Below are 11,071 nucleotides of genomic sequence, written 5' to 3'. Positions count from 1 at the left end.
AGAGAGTTTATCTGGGCCAAGGTTGAGGACCACTGCCCTGGACACACTTGCCTTGGGGAGTGCTCCAGTAACCTTTGTCACAAGCAGGTTTTCAAAGGCCAAAAAAAAGGGGAGTTGGGGGACAAAGAGTGGACTGATACAAAGTTGTTTGTCAGGAATTTTCACTGGTTAAAAGAAATAACATGGATTAGATTGGCTACATATTGTTGAACTATAGGGTATGGGTATGGCGTCCTGTGTGTGGCATTGCTAGGTTAATTTATAGCTACTTGTGAAAATAGCAAGCAGTTTCAAGAAATGATTACAGGCCAGGTGCAGTGGCTTACACCTGTAATCCCAGCACTTTGCGGGGCTGAAGCGGGCGGATCACTTGAGGCCAGGAGTTCGACCTTTCCCTGGCCAATATGGCGAAACCCCATCTCTACTAAAAATACAAAAATTAGCTGGTCGCAGAGGTGTGCGCCTGTAATCCCAGCTACTTGGGAGGCTGAGGCACAAGAATCCCTTGAACCTGGGAGGTAGAAGTTGCAGTGAGCCGAGATTGCACCACCGCACTCCAACCTGGGCGACAGAGGGAGACCCTGTCTCAAAAAAAAAAAAAAAAAAGAGACAATTACATAGCTCAAGTCGGGGTGGGAAGAAGTAGGACATAACTGCTGTCTCATATTAATGCCTCTCTGGGCCTGATAATTTAAAAGGGGTCACATTACTTAAATAAGAAGTATTTATATATATTCTTTTCTTTCTCAATGTCTTTTTCACTTGCACTAAATTGAGAGCAACCTGACGAAAAAGTTAAATTATTTAATATGTAAAGGAATAGCATTTTGATTACTTTGAAGTATTGACAGTATCTCAATTAAGTTAATAAAATCTTTGTAGATTACTTATGTGAATCTTACTTTCATAAACAGATAAGCTTTGTTTCTATGATCTACATGGATTTTACTGTGGTAAATAGAAAAGCTTTGTTTCTATTGGTATACCAGAAAGGATATTCCTCAAATACTTGAAGGTGCTAAAAATTTAGATCTTTTAAGATATTTAAACCTTTCCCACATCAAGTTTGTTTGTATACCAATTACTGCCATTTGTCAGTTGCAAAAGTCAAACTTCAAATTAATCCTTGTCTGAATTACCATATATTCAAAATTATGAGAGTCAATTAACTTTTACTACATATAAAAGATTGTTATTTGGATGAGGATGAGCATATCTAAAGTGAAGAGATGGAAGCTAATTGGCTCAGACCACGACAGGAGATCTTTGAAATTGTCTTTCATTTTCCAAAACCATTGCTTACATAAAGCCGTCCTGACCTGTACCGTTGTGGTGATGGTTTATGAACAATAACAGGCAGGTTGAGCTAAGCAGATGGTATTGGAGAGAGAGGGAGACCCTGCCTTGGGGGCTGGGGAGTGGAACGTGTGCAGATGACAGGGCTAGGAGAAATAAGGCTAGAAAAATAAAGTGGGGCAGAGCTTGGAAAGCTTTGAGGATCTGTATGAGGAGCCTGAACTTAAAAAGTTCTTGAGGATTCTAGGAAGATCCGCAAGATGTGAAATGATGTGAAGTGCACAGAGAATAAAATCAGGGCAATTTGTTTTGATTCCTTAATTAATTTATAAACTTCTTTTATTTTTCATCTATTTGATCTCCTTGGCCATATTGTGCCCAAGATGTGCATTCAGAAAATATTCTAAAGGCCGGGTGTGGTGGCTCATGCCTGTAATCCCAGCCACTTTGTGGGTCCGAGGCGGGTGGATCAGTTGAGCTCAGGAATTTGAGACTAGCCTGGCCAACATGGCAAAACCCCGTCTCTGCTAAAAATACAAAAACTGACCAGGTGCGTTGGCACATGCCTGTAATCCCAGCTACTCAGGAGTCTGAGGCAGGAGAACTGCTAGAACCCAAAAGGCAGAGCTTGCGGTGAGCCGAGATCTCACCACTGCACTCCAGCCTGGGTGACAAAGCAAGACTCCACCTCAAAAAAAAAGTGTGTGTGTATATATATATATATATATATACACACACACACACATATTTACATATACATATATTTATACATATATATATGTGTATGTGTATCTATATATAAAATTGTTTATTGAACCCAAACCAATGAAGTGACAGGATTACCAAGAAACATATGCTCGAGGTTGAAGCCATGAGACTCTGGAATTTTTGCAAATCTTCTAGGGTCTCTCTCTGTCACCCAGGCTGGAGTGCAATGGCACGATCTCAGCTCACTGCAACATCCACCTCCTGGGCTCAAGCAATTCTCTTGCCTCAGCCTCCCTAGTAGTTGGGACTGTAGGCATGCATAGCTACACCCAGCTAATTTTAAAATGTTTTATAGAGATGGTGTTTTGCCGTGTTGCCCAGACTGGTCTTGAACTCCTGGACTCAAGTGATCTGCCTGCATTTGCCTCCCAAAGCACTAGGATTACAGGTGTGAACCACTGCACCTGGCCTGCAAATCTTGTTGCTAATTGATATTAAAGATAACTTGGAAGACAGAGGGCAGGTGGTTCTTCCTTCCGCCATTACCAGTTCAAATGAATAATGTGGCCCCAAAGCACATGATGCTGAGTAACATCGGTATAGGTTCCCCTTCATTACTTTCTCTTTTGTTCAGATCTGCAGGTTGTGGAACCCCAGCCTCAAAGAACTGGCTGGCTACTTTTAGAAAGCCCTAAATTCAAAACTTGAAAGCAGAAAAAAATAGAAAATGATTTTTCATTTGTATTTCCTGTAAAACAACCAACTCTTATTACCTAACTTTAAAATCTCATTGATTTTACAGTTTCCGTCTTTATGTCACCTTTCCAGAAGCTTATTGATTAAACAGTGTGTGTTGTCTTTATTTACCCCCTGCCCACAACCTAGCCTCACTCCACAGCACATCTCCTGGGTGTGCCCTGGAGCTTCCAGCGTTGGAAGCTTTCTGGTTGATAATGCCTATTTTGATTGCAGCAGTAAAGTCACCAAGGACTAGAAATCCCCTGCTTCCCACTTTAGCAACTGAAGCTCATTTTGTTTGTAATTGCTAGATATTTTAGGCGGAAGAGGAATGATGGCTGGATGTGGGGAGAGGAGGGAGGAAAAACATCATGAAGGACTCTAGCTAAGAGCTTTCCAGAAAGACAACGGCTTTCCATTCAGTATTTGGAGTTTACTTGTCTAAAATATTTTAGCAAAATTGCTATAGCTCTAAGCTGCATTGTCAAGTCACACCATGAAGACAAACATCTCGTGTAGCAGGTCCTTGCAAGGAAACAGCAAAGGGAAGGGGGAAGGGTTACTCCCTACTGCCAATGACTGGTCATAGCCAAGCTTTGGCTATTAAATTAATTGCCCATCAACATCACAAATGCCCAGGGTAGGGGGGCCACTAAAATAATTATGGTAGATCAGTCCCTTTCATGACCATTAGTGCAATTCTGCAAAGGCTCCCAGGCCACTAACTCTTTCAGCACATCATCTCAAGAAGTATCCTAACTGTACTCTTAGATGACCATTTGGGGTACATGTTTGGGAGGGGAGTTGTAAATAATTTCCTACACTGATGATGTGGTGTGCCTTAGTGATGGGTAAGGCCACATTCTTATCATCAGTAAAGAGATCATGCTATCATTAGGAGCTGCCCAACTGGAAGAGTGTCACCACCATAATTCTTTATTAATTATAACTCATTGAATAGTGGTGTTACCCCAAGAAGTTGCTGTGGAGACCTTCACCCAATGAGTGACCATCTTGTGCACAACAGAGAAAGTCTATTGTCATAAACAAGTTAACACCCTACCACACACAAATTACAGTAGTACTAAACAAAATGTCTATTTACTTAAGCTACTATTACATTTAATTAGTTGCTGGGAAATAAGAAATGCATCTTCTAACAAGCTAACTCATTATAATTCCTGTCTTGCTTCTGTAGAATCACATTCAAGTGTTACGAATGCCTCAAACAATTGTTTGCTTCCGTGAAAGTGAAAAGAAACACTAAAAATGTGATAAGGATTTTAAAGACTCAGATAAATGAAAGAATAATTTGCTAAAAGCCCATCATGTGCCAAGTACTGTGCTGGGGGCCATGGGTTTGGAGTCAGGTCCTCCGAAAGCTGAAACACAGGCCTTGCTTTCCACAGGCTCACAGACCAGGGGCAGGAGATTCCCATGTGATAATTTGAATATAAATTGGTTAGTGCTACAGGCCTTCTCAGAATTGCAGAGGGCATGGAGAGAGATTGGTCAGGCTGTAAGATCTAGGGAGGATTTTCCTTGTGGGGTTTAAACAAGGCCTGGAAAAAATGCTTAATTGGGGTGAGGTGGGGGAGCAATAGAGAGGGTTGCATAGTCCTAGACATGAAAATAGACAAGAGGCCGGGCGCGGTGGCTCATGCCTGTAATCCCAGCACTTTGGGAGGCTGAGGTGGGTGGATCCTGAGGTCAGGAGTTCGAGATCAGCTTGGCCAAGATGGGGAAACCCCGTCTCTACTAAAAATACAAAAATTAGCCGTGTGTGGTGGCGGGTGCCTGTAATCCCAGCTACTGGGGAGGCTGAGGCAGGAGAATTGCTGGAGGCCAGGAGGCAGTGGTTGCAGTGAGCCGAGATAGTGCCACTGCACTCCAGCCTGGGTGAAAGAGCAAGACTCTGTCTCAAAAAAAAAAGAAAAAAAGAAAATAGACACAAAATGTAGACATTTTCGAGGAAGTGAAAGGAGCTGACTGTAATGAAAGTGTGAGTCTGTGATGTCTCTGAGCTGGGAGGACAGCAGAAGGGAAGCAGATATGATGTGGGGCAGCCATGTGGCTGGGTTAGGACACTGGCAGGCCTGTGCAACCCCGAGAGTGAACACCTCCTAAAATTCTCCTAGGACATGTGTCTTTCTGGTCTCGCCTTAGTCCTGCCCCCGATTCTATAGAACAAACATCTTGATAAACACTGGACAGAAGAGCCCAGCTTGCAACTTCTTTAAGGGCAGGAATCATATCGTTTTTTCAATTTTTTTTTTTTTGAGGCAGAGTCTCGCTCCGCGCCCAGGCTGGAGTGCAGTGGCGTGATCTTGGCTCACTGAAGGTTCTGCCCCACTGGGTTCATGCCATTCTCCTGTCTCAGCCTCCCGAGTAGCTGGGACTACAGGCGCCCGCCACCACGCCCAGCTAATTTTTTTGTACTTTTAGTAGAGATGGGGTTTCACCGTGTTAGCCAGGATGGTCTTCATCTCCTGACCTCGTGATCTGCCCGCCTCGGCCTCCCAAAGTGCTGGGATTACAGGTGTGAGCCACCATACCCAGATTTTGTTTTGTTTTGTTTTGTTTTTGAGACAGAGTCTCCCTTTGTTGTCCAGGCTGGGGTGCAGTGGTGGGATCTCGGTTCACTGCAACCTCTGCCTTTCAAGTGATTCTCCTGCTTCAGCCTCCCGAGTAGCTGGGATTAAGGGCACGTGCCACCACACTTGGATAATTTTTCTATTTTTAGTAGAGATAGGGTTTCCCCACGTTGGCCACGCTGGTCTCGAACTCCCTACCTCAGGTGATCCACCTGCCTCAGCCTCCCAAAGTGATGGGATTACAGGCTTGAGCCACCGTGCCCAGCGTTTTTCAATTTTACATTTATCTGTCTATTCCCTGTGCTCTAGTGCTGGACAGAGAGACTGGGACCTAGAAGATTCTCAAAAATGTTTATCAAATGAATAAATATTTGTTTAATGACACAGGGTAACCAAGGCAAATCTGGTAAGCAAATGAATAGTGGAGTTTTAAATAATCAGTCTCCAAATAGAAATTCAGCAATAAAAGAGTATTTGTTGTGTTAATGTGTCAAGAGAAGACCTTGGCCTGGAATGAGTTCAGTATTTAAAACCCATTTTCCAAGGGGTAGAAGAATGGAATGTGTATAACTTTGGATCAAAATGTGTATAAGTTGTAATCAAACTCAAGGTCTGATGCCTTGACATTGGGAAAAATACATGATTCAAAAGGCAAAACTGCAAAGCAGAAAAATGTTTTGTAAAATCTGTAACAGTTAAAATGCTCTCCTCTGACAATCTTTACTGAAGGGAATTTTTTAAAAGTCATTTAATACAAATACGTCATCTTAAAAATAAACATATAAATGTCACTCTTTTCTTAGGTTTGAGGTTGCTATGTTACTTACTTACATTAAATGTAACTTCTGTTAATCGAAAGAAAATCTTTTTTTTTGCCCTCTTTTTGTGGAATAATGTATGTGTAGTCTAAGTAAATATTCATTTGAGGCCGGGCGCAGTGGCTCACACCTGTAATCCTAGCAGTTTGGGAGGCTGAGGCTGGAAGATCACTTGAGCCCTGGAGTTCAAGACCAGCCTGGGCAACGTGGTAAGACCCTATCTCTTCAAAAAAATAAAAAAATAGCTGGGCATGGTGGTGCATGCCTGTAGTCCCAGTTACTAGGGAGGTTGAGGTAGGAGGATCGCTTGAATCTGGAAGGTCAAGTCTGCAGTGAGCCATGATTGCACCACTGCACTCCAGCCTGAGTGATAGAGTGAGACCTGGTCTCAAGAAAGAAAAAAAAAGTCATTTGAGAGAATATATTCTTAGCATAAAATTTATTATAATGAATTCAGCTTTATTTTATCATAACGGTGGTTTACATTTCAGAAACAAACAGAAAGCTAGAATTCTTCTTTATCTGGGGACTGAAATCAAAATGAGAAAGGCAGCAAATGTCATTCTTCTACACCCATTTAGTATGGTAGAATCAAGGAAGGACAGTAGGTTTCTAACAGCCCCTGGGTTTTTAGGTGATGGGCAGCTCTGCTTGCACTGTATTTATCCTCCACTAGGACCGAATTAATAAAAGAAAGTGAGCTTAATGATATTCTTTTTCTATGATTAAATATATTCACTGTCCAATAGATACATGAATGTAGCATCTGTTTGTTTTCAGAAGCAAGAATTGTGAGGTAGAAATGCCCCTAGAGAACAGCGGTGCATAGAGGGTGTGTCTCCTGGGTCAGCACCCAGCCTTCACCACCTGCCTCCTGCCTCCCTCCCTTCCTTGGCCCCATTGCTATATCAAAAACCCCTGCAGTCTATTTTTTCATGTATTCTGTTGGGGGGCATGTACACAGAAATTAAACAACACCTCTTAGACTTGTTTTTTGTTTTGTTTTGAGACGCTGTAATCCCAGCACTTTGGGAGGCCGAGGCGGGTGGATCACCCAAGATCAGGGGTATGAGACAAGCCTGGCTGACACGATGGAACCCCGTCTCTACTAATAACAGAAAAATTAGCTGGGCGTGGTGGCACATGCCTGTAATCCCAGTTACTCTGGAGGCTGAGGCAGGAGAATTGCTTGAACCCAGGAGGCAGAGGTTGCAGTGAGCTGAGATCACACCATTGCACTCCAGCCTGGGTAACAAGAGTGAAACTCCAACTCAAAAAAAAAAAAAAAAAAGAAAGTAATAAATGCTTTCAGTGAGAAAATTCAAATAATATAGAAAGGTAAACATTTGAACTGAAAGCTTCCTTCTTCACCCAATTACTCTCTTTCTAGAAGGCTCCTGTTAATAATTTCTCAAGTGTCTTTTCAGAAAAAAGGGCTATGTACCAGCATATATTTCTTTTTGAAATGTACATAATTGAATTATAATATATTTTATTTTATACCTTGGTCTTTTCACTTAATAAACTTTGAACATGTTTTCATTATCAGTGTCTACAGTATAGATCTTCCCATATTCTTTTTATAATGCTTCCTAGTATTCTATTGTATAAAGGTATTCTAATCTATTTATATACAGTGTGCCCTGCTGGTGGACATTTGTGATAATTTATTTTGCTGTTACAATGAATACCCTTTTACATATAACTCGATATCTTCTTTCATATGAATTCATGAGGTCACTGGGCCGTTGCATGTAGTTAGATAAGTTGTACACTGCATAAAGTGCCTTTTCTATGAGGGCACCATTCAGTTTGTAGACACCATAAATTTAAATAGTTATTATGATACTCTTCTGGAAGATAGACATAAAATCTCCTGATGAGGGGATACTTTATTCTAATTTGAACAAAGTCACCATGGCCCTGGGTAAATCAATATTAACAGAACAACTGAGTCAAAGGGCATATGCGGCCAGGCGTGGTGGCTCATGCCTGTACATTGGGAGGCCAAGGCGTGTGGATCATCTGAGGTCAGGAGTCTGAGATGAAACTCAAACTCAGGAGTTTGGCAAAAGCCTGTCTCTAGTAAAAATATAAAAATTAGCCAGGCATGGTGGCGCATGCCTGTAATCCCAGCTGCTCAGGAGCTACCTAAAAAAAAAAAAAAAAAAAGAAGGCATATGCACATGGACTTTTGATAAACTATTGTCAACTTTCCCTGCAAAATGTTTGTACCAAGAGAGATTGATTTTTGACAGACAATAGGGCTTGATTTCTAAGATCTAAAACATACTGTGTTGTTTTAAGTCATGGTCAACTTTTATTTACCTGAGGTTGTAAGAAAGAATGAGAATAGGAATAGCCAAAAGCTACCTCCCCAAAAATTCTCAATGAGAAAATCAGGTAATTTGCATGTTACCTGTTTTCCTTTCCTTTCTAGGGATGATCTAATGCACAATCCCTTGAAGGATTGGATGCCGGCAGGAGACAAAATAATCTGCTCTAGTTGCAGGGCACCTGAAACCTGCATAGTTGGTTCCTGAACATATATATGTTGATAAAAATGTTTGCTTTTGTTCTTTTTTTTTTTTTTTTTTTTCTGAGACAGAGTGTCACTCTGTTCTCCAGGCTGGAGTGCAGTGGCATGATCTTGGCTCACTGCAACCTCCACCTACTGGGTTCAAGTGATTCTCCCACCTCAGCCTCACCAGTAGCTGGGACTACAGGTGCCTGCCACCACGCCTTGCTAATTTTTGTATTTTTAGTAGAGATGAGGTTTGGCCATGTTGGCCAGGCTGGTCTCGAATTCCTGACCTCAAGTGATCTGCCCACCTTGGCCGCCCAAATTGTTGGGATTACAGGTGAGCCACTGCGCCTGGCTGTTCTTTTGTTATTTACTGGGGAAATTAAATGAACAATAATGGGAAAGGTGCAGTAATGCTGTGATGGAGTTGTGGTGGGAAGCTGGTATTATGGGATCAAAGACAGACTGTTGTAATGTATCTATTGTGGGGTATATAAAAAAAAGGTTCTACTCTTAGAGTCTTCTCCAATCTCTCAAGGAAGAGTCAACAGTTCCAATAATGGACTGGATCTTTATCACGGCAGCAGGCCTGGTAAAGCACTTTTGGGCATGGGTTTATTGTTTTATTGGTCACATTGTGCCTGACATTACACTCATTGTCATAAAACGCCTACAGGTTTGTCGCTTTGTGGGATTCGACTGGATTCTACTCTAAGTATAAAATTGAGGGACAAGCCGTGGAATGTTAAGACTATGAGAGGAAGGAATATGTTAAGCAATGCTCAAAACAAACTTAAAATAGAAACAAGGCAGGTGGGGGTGGGGGAGGGGGCAGAGAAGAAAACAAGTTGAGAAAAGATTTTTAAAAAGTGGGAGGAAGGAAGGCCATGGGAATAAGAACTCTGCCTTTAGAGGTGAAAGGCAGAATCCATAGAATGACTGGCTGGACAAAGCACAAGAGGAAGCCAAACATTTAGATCCCAATCCCATCAACTAGCTTTGGGACTTTGGGGAAGTTCCCCACTCACTCTTCTCCACTCCCCCAAATTTCCCTATATGTCAAAGAAGCACAAGAATGACCTTTCCAAGGTTGAGAGGAGAAAATGACAAATAGCCTAAGAACACTTTGAGGTGTTAAGAGCAGAAATCATAGGCAGTGTTGTCTGCAGGATTGGTTTGATGTCTCGTGGTGCCGTTTACTGATTTTGTTCTCTTCCACAATAAAACATGTGTAGCTTTCTCACTGGGCCCTCGCACAAATAGGAAATGTAATGTGAGAATCTTAGAAGTTTGCAAAACTGCATCATTTAGAATGTATCACTAGCAATTATCAGGGGCAGATAGCAGAGGCCTTATTACGTATTTCTCTCTTGTGATAAAACTCTAATCTGGCCTATGTTTCATCCTTAAGGACAAAATGTGGCTTATTGTTCACTGCAAGCTTGTTTAAAGGACAGAGATGTTTCTAGATTGATTCATATTCACCCTTCATGAGGATGAGCACAGAGCAAGAAGCTAGCCACGCTGGGCTCCTCATTGCCTAGCTCAGGTAAGACAGCACAGAACAGTTTCAGGACTCAACTGATTCTGTTAGACACTGTAGTTCAACACAGTTGATAGACTGCTATAGACTTAACCAGTTCAACTGAAAAATGTTTACAGAAGTTCATAATTACCTTTTGGAAGTAGGGGTGTTGGTGATGGTGTGGGAGTAATTAATATCTCAGGTAGGAAAGGCATTTAAACTTGAACTTACTTTTTTTTTTTAATTTTTTTTTTTTTTAAGATGGAATCTTGCTCTTGTGGCCCAGGCTGGAGTGGAGTGCAGTGGTGCGATCTCGGCTCACTGCGACCTCTGCCTCCCAGGTGGTTCTCCTGCCTCAGCCTCCGAAGTAGCTGGGATCACAGGCATGCACCACCACACCTGGCTAATTTTTGTATTTTTAGTGGAGACAGGGTTTCACCACATTGGCCAGGCTGGTCTTGAACTCCTGACCTCAGGTGATCCTCCCGTCTCGGCCTCCCAAAGTGTGGGGATTATAGGCGTGAGCCACTGTGCCGGCCTTTTTTTTTTTTTGAACTTTTTTTTAAAAGACAGTGTCTTGGCTGAATGTGGTGGCTCATGCCTGTAATCCCAACACTTTGGGAGGCCGAGGTGGGCGGATCACAAGGTCAGGAGATCGAGACCAGCCTGACCAACATGGTGAAACCCTGTTTCTACTAAAAATACAAAAAATTAGTCAGGCATGGTGGCACGCACCTGTAGTCCCAGCTACTAAGGAGGCTGAGGCAGGAAAATTGCTTGAACCCGGGAGGCAGAGGTTGCAGTGAGCCGAGATCGCAATATTGCACTCCAGTCTATGCAACAGAATGAGACTCTGTCTCAAAAAAAA

At 42.2% G+C, this 11,071-nt stretch overlaps 1 protein-coding gene across 5 annotated transcripts in view, besides 1 other annotated feature; it reads left to right on the top strand.

The window, feature by feature from the left end:
• Nucleotides 2,833–2,942: an enhancer, noted in NCBI's record as "active region_13322". NCBI's record gives its function as "activates an Ori minimal core promoter by ATAC-STARR-seq in GM12878 lymphoblastoid cells {active_cell/tissue: GM12878}" and the evidence as "EXISTENCE:reporter gene assay evidence [ECO:0000049][PMID:35858748]".
• Nucleotides 10,156–11,071, top strand: part of MRO (maestro) — a 30,251-nt gene continuing 29,335 nt past the window's right edge. For all 5 annotated transcript variants that reach the window (NM_001127174.3, NM_001369510.2, XM_047437883.1 and 2 more), the window contains exon 1: nucleotides 10,156–10,227. The gene's annotated coding sequence lies outside the window, so the exon portion shown is untranslated. The remainder of the gene's footprint in view (nucleotides 10,228–11,071) is intronic.

This window comes from Homo sapiens, chromosome 18 (assembly GCF_000001405.40).
Source record: "Homo sapiens chromosome 18, GRCh38.p14 Primary Assembly".
Classification (NCBI taxonomy): domain Eukaryota; kingdom Metazoa; phylum Chordata; class Mammalia; order Primates; family Hominidae; genus Homo; species Homo sapiens.
Note: the sequence above shows the minus strand (reverse complement) of the source record. Positions and strands in the feature narration are given on the sequence as shown.